We start from the raw sequence: 18,651 nt of genomic DNA, 5'->3' as shown, positions 1-18,651 counted from the left end.
ACCTGACGTCAGGAGTTTGAGACCAGCCTGGCCAACATGGTGAAACCCCATCTCTGCCAAAAATACAAAAATTAGCTGGGCGTGGTGGCAGGTGCCTGTAATCCCAGCTACTTGGGAGGCTGAGGCAGGAGAATTGCTTGAACCTAGGAGGCAGAGGTTGCAGTGAGCCGAGATTGTGCCATTGCACTCCAGTCTGGGCAACAATAGTGAAACTCTGTCTCAAAATAAAATAAATAAATAAAATTTAAAAATAAAATAAAATAAATGTGGAGGAAAGAACAGGAAATCCTGAAATTTTTGTTTTTTCAACTTTTTCTTCTTTTTAAATACCATTTAGCACCAATAATAAAGCATCAATAATAGTAAGGCTTTTCTACATATCTGAGATCTCTTCCTTAATATATTATTTATCACCTCCCCAATAATATATTTCTTACTTATGGAGTGAAAAGCCTTCAACCTATTTCCTTTTGCAGCAATAGAGGCCAAGCACAGTGTTACTGCTCTCAAGAAAAAGAACACACAAGCAATTTCAGCTTAGAGACAATACTCAAAAGGGAGGACAGTTTATAAAATTCCATCTAGGTTGCTTGAAAATAGCTTTCTCTATCTTGCCAATAAGTAATTTACTGAAACTTCTTTGTACTTTGACCTGAATCTGTGGAGACTCTATTCTATTAATAATTTGTAAAGTTTATAAATTCCTTCCTACAAAAGTTTTTCAACATATATTGGAATTTGGGGTTTCAAAAGCCTTCCTCCTTATTTACTTCCCTTTGCCAATTAAAATCACACACTGTTTCTTTGACCAAGAAATGGGAAAATGACTACTCTATCCCTATACACTGTGGCTTCCACTAAGTGGGAGGAAAGGCTTCCTAGGACATGTGTTTAACTCTGTAATTTGCTCTCGAAACTCCTGCCCCAATGTACCCAAATATATGAATCTCTATGTTCTTTTTATTTAACCCAAAATATACCTGATCTATTCTGCACTAAATATCAACAAAGACAGGGCTCCAGGAAGTAACTTGCAGAATTGTCTTGTTTAAAAATAGGATTAACAAGCTTCTTGGTAAGGTGAGCTTTTTCCTGCCTCCCTCCCCACTCCCACTTCTAACCCTGTAACATTCTTTGTTTGTGTACATTTGGTTCAGAGGGATACTTCTGCTGCTGCCTTATTATTAATAATAGCAGATTAAACTTCAGTGCATCAGGGTTGGAGGATTCTCTTTTATACTACAAACACTTTGGGCCACCCACTATAGGAAGTGCCATGCTAAGTATATTAGGGAGGTTCAAAAGATGTGAAAAGACACACCAGTGCTCTCACAAAGCTTACCAACTCACTAGGAAAATAAATCATACACTATGAAACAACATGAAAGTAATTACTCTGAAATTTTATTATTTTTAACACATACATTTCACAAACAATACCTTTAACACCACATACAATTCCATAACAAAATATTTTAATTTTGTCAACGTTCTTTTTTGTTTGTTTTTTGAGACGGAGTCTCGCTGTGTCACTCAGGCTGGAGTGCAGTGGTGCGATCTCGGCTTACTGCAACCTCCGCCTCCCAAGTTCAAATGATTCTCCTCCCTCAGCCTCCTGCCTCAGCCTCCCGAGTAGCTGGGACTACAGCCGCGTGCCACCACACCCAGCTAATTTTTTTGTATTTTTAGTAGAAATGGGGTTTCACCATGTTAGCCAGTATGGTCTCTATCTCCTGACCTCATGATCTGCCCGCCTCGGCCTCCCAAAGTGCTGGGATTACAGGCGTGAGCCACCGTGCCCAGCCTCAACGTTCTTTAACTTTTTACAATCTTCTCTCAACAAAAGTGTAACCCAAGATACCTTGACAAGAAATCTTCCAGATAAAAAAATATTTTTGAGCTAGTTTTAATGATGCCTATCCACTAAATTTCCTCTCAAATACTTGCAATAATAATAAAGTCAACAGTACTCTAGGCAAGAGTATACTGAGGAAGTATACAATTAATCAGTTCTTCCCAAAAAATAATAGTAATAGTTTCTTCCTCAAATCTTTTCTTCTGTAATGTCTAATCTCATCCATTGTATTTTTCATCTCAGACACTGTAGTTTTCATTTATAGAAATTCAATTTTGGTCTTCTTTTTATATCTTCCATGTCTTAAGTGTTCGAACAAGTGCAATACAGTTATAATAACTTTTATTTTCCTTCTCTGCTAATTCGGTCATCTGTATCAGTTTTGGGTTAGTTTCAATTATTCTCTTCATTATAACTCATGGGTTTTTTTGCTCTTTGCATGTCTGATGATCTTTGATTCAATGCTAGACATTGAAACCACCTCTGCAAAAATCATAACTGAGAAAATTATTACAGTGAAAGAGATCTGACATAACCAGCTCCATCTTGCTTCTAATCACCAAGCTGTCCTTGTTCATTTCTAGGTACAGGCTGAACTAACTTTTGGGAGGAACTTAGTTTATAGTTTAGCTTTGAAACCAAGACAATAACAGCCATTTCCCAAACAAACCCCATTCCCGCCTGGGGACTAGACTCCCTTTTCAGGACAACAAATTAGCCAAAAGATTAGAAATTGTGGTTTAGGAGTCATGCAGCTGGAAGCTGCCCAAATTGCTAAACCTCCCCAAATTGCTCCTGCGGATAACATCACTATTGTAAAACCTAAGATCAGTGCTTGAGATATTTTGCAGACCCTAAACTCAGTCGATCAGCTGGCATAACCCAGATTGATAAGCTGGCTCATCTGGTCTTGTGGCCCCCAGTCAGGAACTGACTCAACACAAAAGGACAGCTCTGACTCCCTATGATTTCATCTCAGACTGACTAATCAAAACTCCTAACTCACTGGCCCCCTATCAAATTATCCTTAAAAACTCAGATCGTCAGATTCTCAGGGAGACTGATTTAAGTAATAATAAAACTGGTCTCCTGCATAGCCAGCTCTGCGTGAATTTCTCTTTCTCTACTGCAATTCCCGTCTTGATAAGTTGGCTCTTTCTAGGCAGTGGGCAAGGTGAACCTGTTGGGTGGGTTACAACATTGTGAATTTTACTTTGTTGGGTGCTGGATATTTTTGTATTCCTGTAAATCTTGAGCTTCACTCAAGGATGCAGTTAAGTTACTTGGAAATAGTTTAAGCCTTTCATCTCTTGCTTTTATAATTTGTTAGGCAATTATAGAGTGGTGCTCAGCCTAAGACTGATTGTTTCCCACTACTAAATGCTCTACCCAATGCCCCATGAGTTATGATTTTCTTTCCAGTCTGGTGGGAAGAACAGGCATTATTCCTGGACCTGTGTGAGCACCAGGTTCTATTCCCTCTGGTACTTTGTCCTGTGAACCCTGTCTTGATCTTTATCGACTCTCATCTTGATCTCCCTAACTCAGGGAGTGTTCTAGACTCAAGAGCAGTTCCCTTTTCCCGTACTGGAGCCTGGAGACTCTCTCAAGGCAGTAAGCAAGACTCATCTTGTTTGTTTCCTGTATCTGCTTAATTTTTAAATTTTTTTGTCATTGTTTCAGGTGGGAAGGTAAGTCAGACCCTTTAACTCCATCCTGCCCAGAAGACTTCATTATTTTTCTTTCTCCCTCTCCCTGCCTTCTTTCCACCCTCTTTTTTAACTTATTTTGAAATAATTTCATACTGACAAGAAGTTACAAAAACAGTAGAGAGAGGTTCTGTATACCCATCACTCAGTTCCCCTAATGGTGACAGCTTCTATAACTATACTGCACTATCAAAACCAGGAAATTAGCTGGCAAATTAACTGGACTATAGACCTTACTCAGATTTCACCAGTTTTTACATGCATTCATTTTTCGGGTATGTCTTTGTATATACTCATGACATTTTATCTATCACATATATAGATTCATATATAACCATCATTTTAATCAAGATATGGAACTGTTCTGTCACTACAAAGGAAGTCCCTTGTCATGTCCCTTTAAAGTCATACTGTCCTTCTCCTTCCCTAACCTATGGCAACCACTTGTCTATTCTCTACATCTTTAATTTTGTTGTTTCAAGAATGTTATATAAATGGAATCATAGAGTATGGACCATTTTGAGATTGGCTTTTTTCACTCAGAATAATGCCCTTAAATTCCCTTCAAGTTGTTTACATCAACAGATTGTTCCCTTTGTCGGTGAATTACCTTATGTGGACATACCATGAGTCATATGAACATTCAGTCATGGAAGGATATTTAAGTCATTTCCAGTTTTTTGGCTATTACAAATAAAGCTATGAACATTTGTGTACAGGTTTTTGTGTGAACATAAGTTACATTTCCCCAGGATAAATGCCCAGGAATATAAATGCTAGGTGATTAATGGTAGTTTCTTTTTTTTTCTATTTTTTTAAGAAACTGCCAGACTGAGTTATAGAGTAGCTGTATCATTTTACATTCCCACCAGTAATGTAGAAGAGATCCAGTTTCTCTGCACACTTGCCAGCATTTGAATAATCGGTATTTTTAATTTTTGCCATTCTAGTAAGTATGTAGTATTTTATTCTGGTTTTAATGTGCATTTCCCTAATGGCTAGTGATGGTAAATATCTTTTTGTGTATTTTTTTGCCATCATATATCTTCTATGGTTGCACTGTTTCTTAAAAGTTACAAGATTAAACTTTTGTGTGCACGAATCATGTTTTCTTCACTACTGGGGATAGTTCACTTAGGATAAGGATTTGGCTATGGTTTAATATTTCTTGAATGACCAAAATAAATACAAAGACAATAATAAAACAAAACCCCACAGGCATCACAAACAGAACTCATAATGCTCTGAGATTGGGGCCTGCTCTTTGAACTCTAGTCTAGGGATCAGCAAACTATAGCTCACAGGCCAAATCTGGCCAGGGGCCTGTTTTTGTATGCCCTGAAAGCTAAGAAGGGCTTTTACTTTTTTTTTTTTTTTTTTTTTTTTGAGACAGAGTCTCTGTCACCCAGGCTGGAGTCCAGTGGCACGATCTCGGCTCACTGCAATCTCTGCCTCCTGGGTTCAAGCAATTCTCCCTGCCTTAGCCTCCCGAGTAGCTGGGATTTCAGGCACCCGCCACCACGCCCAGCTAATTTTTGTATGTTTAGTAGAGACAGGGTTTCGCCATGTTGGCCAGGCTGGTCTCTAACTCCTGACCTTAGGTGATCCACCCACCTCGGCTTCCCAAAGTGCTGGGATTACAGGCGTGAGCGACCGTGCCCGGCCGGGCTTTTACATTTTTAAAGGGTTATTTAAAAACAAAAAAATATATGCAACAGAGTCCATATGTAATCTGCTAAGTCTAACATATTTACTATATGGTGTTTACAGATAAAGTTTGCAGATGAATGGAAAGAAAACCTGATCTTCTTTTTTGGGGCAAACATTAACAACATTGACATCTGATTACCCATGATACTCTCAAGATCTTATTCTTTAACAAAAAGGTGGGGAAATAAAAACACCATAAAAGCGGCCGGATGCAGTGGCTCACGCCTGTAATCCCAGCACTTTGGGAGGCCGAGGTGGGCGGATCACGAGGTCAGGAGGTGAGACCAGCCTGGCCAATATGGTGAAACCCTGTCTCTACTAAAAATACAAAAATTAGCCGGGCATGGTGGCGGGCGCCTGTAGTCCCAGCTACTCAGGAGGCTGAGGCAGAAGAACCCCTGGAACCCGGGAGGCAGAGGTTGCAGTGAGCCGAGATGGTGCCACTGCACTCCAGCCTGGGTGATAGAGAGAGACTCCGTCTCAAAAAACAACAACAACAACAAAAAAAAAACACCATAAAAGCACTATGACGTGAAAACAGTTCCTACATTAACTCCCTGTCAAAGTATTTTTAAGCAGATACCTATAAGCCTTAGAGCATTCTTCATTCTGTTATTGAATTTCTTCCATCTGGTCCTGAAATATATATACATTGCTGACAAATTCATGTGCTCTAAGCTTTGAAAAACCAAAAACTTTAGTGGGTTCTAAAATCAGAGCTATTTCCAAGAGTTAGTCATATCAAAAGACTGGATTTTTCCCGATTTGGAGAGAAAACAGTGTCTCTAGATTTTTAAAGTGGCATCTTATGAGCTTAGTCCCATTTCAACCTCTTCCAACCCATGAACGAGTATTCCACTATAAATAACAATTCCATTGTATGTTATTACCCTCTGTCCTTTAGACAAGCTAAGAACTCTTTTCTGACTTGGTGGTTTATTTTTATCCCAAATGAATTTATGTTGTATATGCTTTATATTTCCAGTTTTACTAAAATGAGGTAAACCCAGTAGTGCTAGCTTCCCTACTATCCAGACAATGACAAACACCAATCCGTTCACTGGCAACGCACTTTACCTCTAATATTCTTTGAACATTTAAACATCTAAATTGTGGAGTTGTAAAGACCAAAGGACTTTGTACAACATGCATACCTGGGCTTGGAGACTTGATGTTTACCACAGTCAAGTTTCATATCTAAGTTGATGAACCAAGTCTAAAACCTAATAGAGAAGCCAACTTATTAGAAGCATCTTACCTAAGCCACTCACAACATGTTAAATTTGCCACACATGGGTAGAGGACAAAACTTAGAATCAAGACTCTCATGAAGATTATAGAATGCAGCCCCAATACACACTTGTGCATAGCTTTTTAGTAGGTAAATGTTTCAGCCTGAGAGTCTCAGGTTTCCTTTTGACCTCAGAATAGCACATAATACGTGTAAATCATGGTAGGAATTATACACCTGAGTTATTTATCAGTGACAGCAATAGCAAAGGAAACCATGGAGCAGGAAATCAAATAAAATTATAGAGCTGACACATCAAAACCCTGTGGGAAGCTGGAACCTAAGGGAATAATTTTACTGGCATGGCTTCTTGCAGAGATTATCCAGAAGTCATGCTGCAGATAAAATCCAGGCTTTTAGCAATAAGAGTATTTCTATTTTTATCCCTCATGGGCTCTATGAGGAAGGCCAAGATGAGCTGAGCTCAGCTGCCTATAATAATAGCTCACATATAAAGCTGCTCATTATTTCCAAAATTTGGTTTCAGATTGGAAATCTCCACAGAAAAAAGCAATCTGCCCTGATTTTCTAGGCCTCTTAAATTATTTCATCCAGTTGATACATAAGGCCTGTGGCTGACTGGGTACCAAACAGTTTTAAAACCAAAATGAAATATGGAAGTTTCTCTTAAACCCAATCACCTGTTCATACTCACAGCTCCCTCCAGAGACTGCTGCTCTCTTCACCTGAGGTCCATTATTACTTTAATGGATTTAATTTGCTATCAGAGACAACATACAGATCCATCTGGGGACCAACCTCATAGGGTAGTCTGTGCTACTCTGCAAAACGATGCTTGATCAGTACCTAGATTCTTCCACTGTGAACAGGAAATAAACTCATCATTCTGCGATTTGGCCCTTCCTGGTTCAGGAGGTGGGGCCGGAGTATAAGCCATAATAACAAGTAACACACAAAAAGAACTCAATAGGCTAAGGCGCTTCATAATAACCAATGAGGTAAGCATGCATCTTCCTCATAGCATTCATTCGTCTTTATATTCAAGCAAAAGTTACTGAAGGCCTATTTATTTGCTGAGTTTAAGATAGCTCACTATGGAGTCCAGGCCCCTGTACTCCTTCTGCTGAATTACTGCAGTAACCTCCTAAAAAGCAAAAGTTGTTTTTTTCTCCTTCATCCACCATTGTTCTTTCTCATCTATCCCCACTCAACATTCAGAGTGATCTTTCTAACACAAAAATCTGATTATGTGAACCCCAAGTTAAAACCTTCCAAGGGCTTCCCAATGCTCTTAATATAAAATCCAAACTGTCCCATATGATCTGACCTCTCCCAAACTCTCCAGCCTACTTTTATGCCACTTTCCCCTTTACTCTCTATACTTTGGCCATATTTGACTTCTCTCACTTCCTCACCCCTGTGTTCTCACAGTACAATGTACATACGTTTATAACATTGATCCCACTGTACTGTATTCTCTGGTTTGCCTTTCCTCACTAGAATGTAAGCTCCTCAGAAGGCAGTGAGACCATGCTTTATATTACCCTTGCACTCCTAGTTTCCGGCAGTGTTGACTCAAACATTTGTTGAGTAACTGAGCAAATAAAGAAAAATAGAAAAGACAGGAGAAGGAGGAGGTAGGCTAGGGGAAGATAATTTTGTTTTTAAACATTAAGTTTTAGGTGGCACTGGTTTAGTGGAATAGAAATGCACAAGAACAATAGAGATCAGGTCTGCATGTATTGACTTGGAAGTTATGTACATAGAAATAATGACTGAAGTCGTGAGAATAGTTTTAAAACTAAATCTAAATTTTAGAAAGGCATATGATTCTATGAATAAATGAATAAAAATATGACAAAATAGCTTTAGCTTATAATTCAAACATGCTTACATATGCAAATAATTTTGGTTATGCTATGATTCAGAGCACAGTTAAACAAACTTTATTATTGTTTTAGATTATTGGGACCAAAAATAGGTAACTCTCTTGGCTCCTTATCAAATTCAAGCATTAGATCACAAGTTGATTCTCACTATATTTGATATCCAGTCACACACTGCATAATTATGTTTCAGTCAACGATGAACTACAGAAATGATGGTTGTCCCATAAGATTATAATAGAGGTAAAAAACTCCTATCACCTAGTGACTTCGTAGCCATCCTAATGGTTGTTTAAATGCAACGCACTACCTGCATTTGTGGTGATGCTGGTGTAAACAAACCCACTCCACTGTCATAAAAAAGTATAGCACATATGTTATGTGTAGTTCATAATACTTGATAATGAGAATAAATGACTGTGTTACTGATTTATGTATTTACTATACTTTTTATCGTTAGAGTGTATATCTTCTGCTTATTAAAAAAAAAAATAGTTACGATACAACAGCCTCAGGTAAGTCCTTCAGGAAGTATTCCAGAAGAAGGCATTATCATCACAGGAGATGACAGCTCCACGTGTGTTATTTCCCCTGAAGGCCTTTCAGTGGGACAAGATGTGGAGGTGAAAGTGATACTGACATTCTTTACCCAGTAAAAGCCTAGACTAATGTGTGTGTTTGTGTCTTCGTTTTTAACAAAGTTTAAAAAGTAAAATTAAAAAAAATTAACAATTTTAAAAACAGAAAAAAGCTTACAGAATAAAGATAGACAAGTATATCTCTACAGCTGTAAAGTGTGTTTGTGTTTCAAGCTAAGTATTATTACAAAAGAGTCAAAAAGTTTTTTATTTTATTTTATTTTTTTCTGAGAGGGAGTCTCGCTCTTGCTCAGACTGGAGGGCAGTGGCGCGATCTTGGCTCATTGCACCCTCTGCCTCCTGGGTTCAAGGGATTCTTTTTCCTCAGCCTCCTGAGTAGCTGAGATTACAGGCGCCCGCCACCACGCCCGGCTAATTTTTGTATTTTAGTAGAAATGGGGGTTTCACTATGTTGGTCACGCTGGTCTCGAACTCCTGACCTCAAACGATCTGCCCGCCTTGGCCTCCCAAAGTGCTGGGATTACAGGCGTAAGCCACCATGCCCAGCCTCAAAAAATTTTTTAAAATGTAAGTTTATAAAGTAAAAATGTTCTTTGGGAAGTTGAGGCGGGAGGATCACTTAAGGCCAGGAGCTGAAGACAAGCCTGGGAAACATAGCAAGGCCTTGTGTCTGCTAAAAACTTTTTAAAAATTAGCTGAGAACGGTAGTACACACCTATAACCTAGCTACTAGGGAGGCTGAGGCAGAAGGATCACTTGAGCCCAGAGTTTGAGTTTATAGTGAGCTATAATTGCACTCCGGTCTATGCAACAGAGAAAGCAGCTATCTCTAGAATAAATAAAGTAAAAAAGTTACAGTAAACTAAGGCTAATTTATTATTGAAGAAACTTAAAAATAAATTTAGTGTAGCCTAACTGTACAGTGTTTATAAAGTCTATAGTAGTAATGTCCTAGGCCTTCACATGCACTCACCACTCATCATACTGACTCACTCAGAGCAACTACCAGTCCTACAAGCTCCACTTATGGTAAGTGCCCTATACAGGCGTACCATGTTTTATCTTTTATGCCATATTTTTACTGTACCTTTTCTATATATAGATATACAAATACCATTGTGTTACAATTCCCTGCAGTTTTCAGTACAGTAGCCTGCTGTACAGGGTGTAGCCTAGGAATAATAGGCTACTACACAGCCTCGGTGTATAGTAGGCTGTACCATCTAGGTTTGTATAAGTTCACTCTGTAATGTTCACATGACAACAAAATTGCCTAATAACACATTTCTCAGAATGTATCTCTGTCATTAAGTGATGCATGACTGTACTTAGATTTTCATCAAATTTTCGCCACTTAACTATGAGTCTGCCCATTAGGTGGCATGCAGTTATATCTGGGAGTGTATAGGTATTATTTTTATTCCTGTTATGTTTTTTGGTAATATTCTATGAATTTTAACAGACAACTTTCTTAATTTTCACGACATATAAAATGAATACCTAAAACTGAAATTTGATCTTATGAAGACCACCCTCCCCTACTCCCCAATTCTTCCTTTTTCTAGTTGGCATCTCATGGGTTTAGCTTGTAGCATTCATCCCTATACACGGTCTAATTGCAATGTCCTCCTTGATGCCATTCTGGTAAAATTTAAAGGAAAACTTCACCAGCATTAATTTTTTTATTCATTAAAACAACAAACCTTGGCCAGGCGCAGTGGCTCATTCCTATAATCCCAGCACTTTGGGAGGCTGAGGTGGGCTGATCACCTGAGGTCAGGAATTTGAGAGCAGCCTGGCCAACATGGTAAAACCCTGTCTCTATTACAAATACAAAAAAAAATTAGCCGGGCATGGTGGTGCATGCCTGTAGTCCCAGCTACTCAGGAGGGTGAGGCAACAGAATCGTTTGAACCCGGGAGGCGGAGGTTGCAGTGAGCCAAGATCACGCCACTGCACTCCAGTATGGGCAATAGAGTAAGACTCTGTCTCAAACAACAAAAAAACCAACCAATGACAAACCTTAAAAAAATAGTATCAGCCACCAGTGTAGCCAGATATAATGAAAAATGTACAAAAACGATTCACATTTGTGGGACTGAGAATTTGTTGTTCTGAAAGAGCAAGTTTAAAATGTACATACCAAACAAAATTCCGATTTACTCCAGTCACACGAAGTTAGTTTTAAATTTTGCATTATAATATATGTATTCAGTTTATTTTTAAGTTCGAGAATTAGAAAACAGCTCTTCTAGAAAATTTAAAAATCAATTTTACCCAATGACAGGACTAATGAGTGTTCCTAAATGATTTAATGAGGTCTTTTTAAACAAAATGTCTGCATCATATTAATGATAAGCAACTAGAAGAAAAAAAGATGTCAAACATGAGGACGTAATAATGGAAAAATATAAAAAAGCTAAAACTTCCGTTAAGTGTACCACATTTCTACTTATGTATGGAGAATGGCTATTCATCTGACAGAGCAAAATGCAGCCTCCTTACCAGTCACTGTTACAACATCATCTTTACGAACTTCAGCCATTTCCTGAACATGGACTTCTGAGTTCACATCAACCTCTTTCCCTGATAACTGTAAATGAGCTTGAAGTGAAGATGGGACCTTGACAATAATAGAACCTGTAATAAATATAATGGAGAGCTTAGTAATATAAAGAAATCAAAAGTACCAGAGTCTATTATAAATTTGACTGACAGGGTAGCATTGCTCCTGAGACACTGTTTTTACTCCTCAGCATACAGTATTTATTTAAACCTTTTCCTTATTCCCAGGTGCCCAAAGTTCCCTTACTCTCAAGGCATTCACAGTAACTTCTGTAAAGAATATGGGTTATTAGCACATTATTAACTACTAGTTCTTCTTTTGCCAATAGTCCTACACAGCTCATCCAACACCAGAAAGTGAGTAATTTACTACACCTGTAGCTTATAGATAGGATTTGCCATTGAGCATTTAATATGAGCCAGACCCCTAATTACATTATGTTTTAATCCCCATATTAACTTTATGAGGTATTATTATTGCCCTGATTTTATAGATAAGAACTTGCTCAAGCTCCCACTAGTGCTCGTGCTGGAACCTAGACTCAGCTCAATAATTACAAAGCCCATGTTTTTTTTTTTTTATTATACTTTAAGTTTTAGGGTACATGTGCACAACGTGCAGGTTAGTTACATATGTATACATGTGCCATGTTGGTGTGCTGCACCCATTAACTTGTCATTTAACATTAGGTATATCTCCTAATGCTATCCCTCCCCACTGCCCTGACCCCACAACAGGCCCCGGTGTGTGATGTTCCCCTTCCTGTGTCCATGTGTTCTCATTGTTCAATTCCCACCTATCAGTGAGAACATGTGGTGTTTGGTTTTTTGTCCTTGCGATAGTTTGCTGAGAATGATGGTTTCCAGCTTCATCCATGTCCCTACGAAGGACATGAACTCATCCTTTTTTATGGCTGCATAGTATCCCATGGTGTATATGTGCCACATTTCTTAATCCAGTCTGTCATTGTTGGACATTTGGGTTGGTTCCAAGTCTTTGCTATTGTGAATAGTGCCACGATAAACATACGTGTGCATGTCTTTATAGCAGCATGATTTATAATCCTTTGGGTATATACCCAGTAATGGGATTGCTGGGTCAAATGGTATTTCTAGTTCAAGATCCCTGAGGAATCGCTACACTGACTTCCACAATGGTTGAATTAGCTTACAGTCCACCCAACAGTGTAAAAGTGTTCCTATTTCTCCACATCCTCTCCAGCACCTGTTGTTTCCTGACTTTTTAATGATCGCCATTCTAACTGGTGTGAGATGGTATCTCATTGTGGTTTTGATTTGCATTTCTCTGATGGCCAGTGATGATGAGCATTTTTTCATGTGTCTTTTGGCTGCATAAATGTCTTCTTTTGAGAAGTGTCTGTTCATATCCTTTGTCCACTTTTTGATGGGGCTGTTTGTTTTTTTCTTGTAAATTTGTTTGAGTTCATTGTACCTTCTGGATATGAGCCCTTTGTCAGAAGAGTAGATTGCAAAAAATTTCTCCCATTCTGTAGGTTGCCTGTTCACTCTGATGGTAGTTTCTTTTGCTGTGCAGAAGCTCTTTAGTTTAATTAGATCCCATTTGTCAATTTTGGCTTTTGTTGCCATTGCTTTTGGTGTTTTAGACATGAAGTCCTTGCCCATGCCTATGTCCTGAATGGTATTGCCTAGGTCTTCTTCTAGGGATTTTATGGTTTTAGGTCTAACGTTTAAGTCTTTAATCCATCTTGAATTAATTTTTGTATAAGGTATAAGGAAGGGATCCAGTTTCAGCTTTCTACATATGGCTAGCCAGTTTTCCCAGCACCATTTATTAAATAGGGAATCCTTTCCCCATTGCTTGTTTTTGTCAGGTTTGTCAAAGATCAGATGGTTGTAGATATGCAGCATTATTTCTGAGGGCTCTGTTCTGTTCCATTGATCTGTATCTCTGTTTTGGTACCAGTACCATGCTGTTTTGGTTACTGTAGCCTTGTAGTATAGTTTGAAGTCAGGTAGCGTGATGCCTCCAGCTTTGTTCTTTTGGCTTAGGATTGACTTGGCGATGCGGGCTCTTTTTTGGTTCCATATGAACTTTAAAGTAGTTTTTTCCAATTCTGTGAAGAAAGTCATTGGTAGCTTGATGGGGATGGCATTGAATCTATAAATTACCTTGGGCAGTATGGCCATTTTCATGATATTGATTCTTCCTACCCATGAGCATGGAATGTTCTTCCATTTGTTTGTATCCTCTTTTATTTCATTGAGCAGTGGTTTGTAGTTCTCCTTGAAAAGGTCCTTCACGTCCCTTGTAAGTTGAATTCCTAGGTATTTTATTCTCTTTGAAGCAATTGTAAATGGGAGTTCACTCATGATTTAGCTCTCTGTCTGTTATCGGTATATAAGAATGCTTGTGATTTTTGCACATTGATTTTGTATCCTGAGACTTTGCTGAAGTTGCCTATCAGCTTAAGGAGATTTTGGGCTGAGACGATGGGGTTTTCTAGATATACAATCATGTCATCTGCAAACAGGGACAATTTGACTTCCTCTATTCCTAATTGAATACCCTTTATTTCTTTCTCCTGCCTGATTGCCCTGGCCAGAACTTCCAACACTATGTTGAAGAGGAGTGGTGAGAGAGGGCATCCCTGTCTTGTGCCAGTTTTCAAGGGGAATGCTTCCAGTTTTTGCCCATTCAGTATGATATTGGCTGTGGGTTTGTCATAGATAGCTCTTATTATTTTGAGATACATCCCAGCAATACCTAATTTATTGAGAGTTTTTAGCATGAAGCGTTGTTGAATTTTGTCAAGGCCTTTTCTGCATCTATTGAGATAATCATATGGTTTTTGTCGTTGGTTCTGTTTATATGCTGGATTATGTTTATTGATTTGCATATGTTGAACCAGCCTTGCATCCCAGGGATGAAGCCCACTTGATCATGGTAGATAAACTTCTTGATGTGCTGCTGGATTCAGTTTGCCAATATTTTATTGAGGATTTTTGCATCGATGTTCATCAGGAATATTGGTCTAAAATTCTCTTTTTTTGTGTGTCTCTGCCAGGCTTTGGTATCAGGATGATGCTGGCCTCATAAAATGAGTTAGGAAGGATTCCCTCTTTTTCTATTGATTGGAATAGTTTCAGAAGGAATGGTACCAGCTCCTCCTTGTACCTCTGGTAGAATTCGGCTGTGAATCCATCTGGTCCTGGACTTTTTTTGGTTGGTAAGCTATTAATTATTGCCTCAATTTCAGAGCCTGTTATTGGTCTATTCAGAGATTCAACTTCTTCCTGGTTTAGTCTTGGGAGGGTGTATGTGTCCAGGAATTTATCCATTTCTTCTAGATTTTCTAGTTTATTTCCGTAGAGGTGTTTATAGTATTCTCTGATGGTAGTTTGTATTTCTGTGGGATCGGTGATGATATCCCCTTTGTCATTTTTTATTGCATCTATTTGATTCTTCTCTCTTTTCTTCTTAATTAGTCTTGCTAGCGGTCTATCAATTTTGTTGATCTTTTCAAAAAACCAGCTCCTGCATTCATTGATTTTTTGAAGGGTTTTTTGTGTCTCTATTTCCTTCAGTTCTGCTCTGATCTTAGTTATTTCTTGCCTTCTGCTAGTTTTTGAATGTGTTTGCTCTTGCTTCTCTAGTTCTTTTAATTGTGATGTTAGGGTGTCAATTTTAGATCTTTCCTGCTTTCTCTTGTGGGCATTTAGTGCTATAAATTTCCCTCTACACACTGCTTTCACATACCAGAGCATACCAGAGATTCTGGTATCTTTGACATACCAGAGATTCTGGTATGTTGTGTCTTTGTTTTCATTGGTTTCAAAGAACATCTTTATTTCTGCCTTCATTTCGTTATGTACCCAGTAGTCATTCAAGAGCAGGTTGTTCAGTTGCCATGTAGTTGAGTGGTTTTGAGTGAGTTTCTTAATCCTGAGTTCTAGTTTGATTGCACTGTGGTCTGAGAGACAGTTTGTTATAATTTCTGTTCTTTTACATTTCCTGAGGAGTGCTTTACTTCCAACTAAGTGGTCAATTTTGGAATAAGTGCGGTGTGGTGCTGAGAAGAATGTATATTCTGTTGATTTGGGGTGGAGAGTTCTGTAGATGTCTATTAGGTCTGCTTGGTGCAGAGCTGAGTTCAATTCCTGAATATCCTTGTTAACTTTCTGTCTCGTTGATCTGTCTAATGCTGACAGTAGGGTGTTAAAGTCTCCCATTATTATTGTGTGGGAGTCTAAGTCTCCTTGTAGGTCTCTAAGGACTTGCTTTATGAATCTGGGTGCTCCTGTATTGGGTGCATATATATTTACGATAGTTATCTCTTCTTGTTGAATTGATCCCTTTACCATTATGTAATGGCCTTCTTTGTCTCTTTTGATCTTTGCTGGTTTAAAGTCTGTTTTATCAGAGACTAGGATTGCAACCCCTGCCTTTTTTTGTTTTCTATTTGCTTGGTAGATCTTCCTCCATCCTTTATTTTGAGCCTATGTGTGTCTCTGCACGTGAGATGGGTTTCCTGAATACAGCACACTGATGGGTCTTGAGTCTTTATCCAATTTGCCAGTCTGTGTCTTTTAATTGGAGCATTTAGCCCATTTACATTTAAGGTTAATATTGTTATGTGTGAATTTGATCCTGTCATTATGATGTTAGCTGGTTATTTTGCTCATTAGTTGATGCAGTTTCTTCCTAGCCTCGATGGTCTTCACAATTTGGCATGTTTTTGCAGTGGCTGGTACTGGTTGTTCCTTTCCATGTTTAGTGCTTCCTTCAGGAGCTGTTTTAGGGGCGGCCTGTTGGTGACAAAATCTCTCAGCAGTTGCTTGTCTGTAAAGTATTTTATTTCTTCTTCACTTATGAAGCTTAGTTTGGCTGGATATGAAATTCTGGGTTGAAAATTCTTTTCTTTAAGAACGTTGAATATTGGCCCCCACTCACTTCTGGCTTGTAGAGTTTCTGCTGAGAGATCAGCTGTTAGTCTGATGGGCTTCCCTTTGTGGGTAACCCGACCTTTCTCTCTGGCTGCCCTTAACATTTTTTCCTTCATTTCAACTTTGGTGAATCTGACAATTATGTGTCTTGGAGTTGCTCTTCTCGAGGAGTATCTTTGTGGCATTCTCTGTATTTCCTCAATCTGAATGTTGGCCTGCCTTGCTAGACTGGGGAAGTTCTCCTGGATAATATCCTGCAGAGTGTTTTCCAACTTGGTTCCATTCTCCCCATCACTTTCAGGTACACCAATCAGATGTAGATTTGGTCTTTTCACATAGTCCCATATTTCTTGGAGGTTTTGTTCATTTCTTTTTATTCTTTTTTCTCTAAACTTCTCGCTTCATTTCATTCATTTCATCTTCCATCACTGATACCCTTTCTTCCAGTTGATCGAATCAGCTACTGAGGCTTGTGCATTCGTCACATAGTTCTCATGCCTTGGTTTTCAGCTCCATCAGGTCCTTTAGGGACTTCTCTGCATTGATTATTCTAGTTAGCCATTCATCTAATTTTTTTTCAAGGTTTTTAACTTCTTTGCCATGGGTTCAAACTTCCTCCTTTAGCTCAGAGTAGTTTGATTGTCTGAAGCCTTCTCTCAACTCGTCAAAGTCATTCTCCATCCAGCTTTGTTCCGTTACTGGTGAGGAGCCGCGTTCCTCTAGAGGAGGAGAGGTGCTCTGATTTTGAGAGTTTCCAGTTTTTCTGCTCTGTTTTTTTCCCCATCTTGTGGTTTTATCTACCTTTGGTCTTTGATGATGGTGACGTACAGATGGGGTTTTTGTGTGGATGTCCTTTCTGTTTGTTAGTTTTCCTTCTAACAGTCAGGACCCTCAGCTGCAGGTCTGTTGGAGTTTGCTGGAGGTCTACTCCAGACCGTTTGCCTGGGTATCAGCAGCAGAGGCTGCAGAACAGCGGATATTGGTGAAGAGCAGATGTTGCTGCCTGATCATTACTCTGGAAGTTTTGTCTCAGAGGAGTACCTGGCCGTGTGAGGTGTCAGTCTGCCCGTACTGGGGGATACCTCCCAGTTAGGCTACTCGGGGGTCAGGGACCCACTTGAGGCAGTCTGTCCATTCTCAGATGTCCAGCTGCATGCTGGGAGAACCTTTACTCTCTTCAAGCCTGTCAGACAGGCATATTTAAGTTTGCAGAGCTTTCTGCTGCCTTTTGTTTGGCTGTGCCCTGCCCCCAGATGTGGAGTCTACAGAGGCAGGCAGGCCTCCTTGAGCTGCGGTGGTGGGCTCCACCCAGTTCGAGCTTCATGGCCACTTGTTTACCTACTCAAGCCTCGGCAATGGTGGACGCCCCTCCCCTAGCCTCGCTGCTGCCTTGCTGTTTGATCTCAGACTGCTGTGCTAGCAATGAGCGAGGCTCCGTGGGCATAGGACCCTCAGAGCCATGCGTGGGATATAATCTCCTGGTGTGCCGTTTGCTAAGACCATTGGAAATAAGCAGTATTAGGGTGGGAGTGACCCGATTTTCCAGGTGCTGTCTGTCACCCCCTTTCTTTGACTAGGAAAGGGTATTCCCTGACCCCTTGCGCTTCCCGGGTGAGGTGATGCCTCGCCCTGCTTTGGCTCACGCTCGGTGCGCTGCGCCCACTGTCCTGCACCCACTTTCTGACACTCCCCAGTGAGATGAACCTGGTACCTCAGTGGGAAATGTAAAAATCACCTGTCTTCTGCGTCGCTCACGCTGGCAGCTGTAGACTGGAGCTGTTCGTATTCAGCATCTTGGCTCCACCCTAAAGCCCATGCTTTTAACCACCATGGTATTTCACACACTCCTACCTCATCGTAGTACAGGACTTGTGACCTCATTATTATAACACAACTAGAACACTGAGCTCTTGTGCTTTCAGATGTGCCTTGTGTGTAACAAAAAATAACAATAGAAAAGGATTATTTGAATTCCAACTCACTAATGTTTCTTTTGAGTAGATTACAGGCTTTTGGATACCTAAGGTAAGACACTCAGCCTGTATTTCCATACAACCTGGCTGTAATTCAACCTTCTAAAGGAGTAAATCAGGAAAAGTACTCTGTTAGGTATGGAATCATTTTTAGAATTATGTGGGTTGCAGTGTAA

The 18,651-nt window shown here is 39.5% G+C and overlaps 1 protein-coding gene across 17 annotated transcripts in view; it reads right to left on the bottom strand.

Annotated features, from left to right (window-relative positions):
- The window catches only part of FAM185A (family with sequence similarity 185 member A), a 101,725-nt gene that overhangs the window by 51,738 nt on the left and 31,336 nt on the right, over nt 1-18,651 (bottom strand). For all 17 annotated transcript variants that reach the window (NR_146986.3, NR_146984.3, NR_146981.3 and 14 more), the window contains one exon: nt 11,517-11,651. Coding sequence is in view for 3 of the 17 variants with exons in the window: in NM_001145268.2 (NP_001138740.2) it covers nt 11,517-11,651 (135 nt within the window). In the remaining 14 variants the exon portion in view is untranslated. The remainder of the gene's footprint in view (nt 1-11,516; nt 11,652-18,651) is intronic.

This window comes from Homo sapiens, chromosome 7 (assembly GCF_000001405.40).
Source record: "Homo sapiens chromosome 7, GRCh38.p14 Primary Assembly".
Classification (NCBI taxonomy): domain Eukaryota; kingdom Metazoa; phylum Chordata; class Mammalia; order Primates; family Hominidae; genus Homo; species Homo sapiens.
This window is presented reverse-complemented; position numbering and strand designations above follow the sequence as displayed.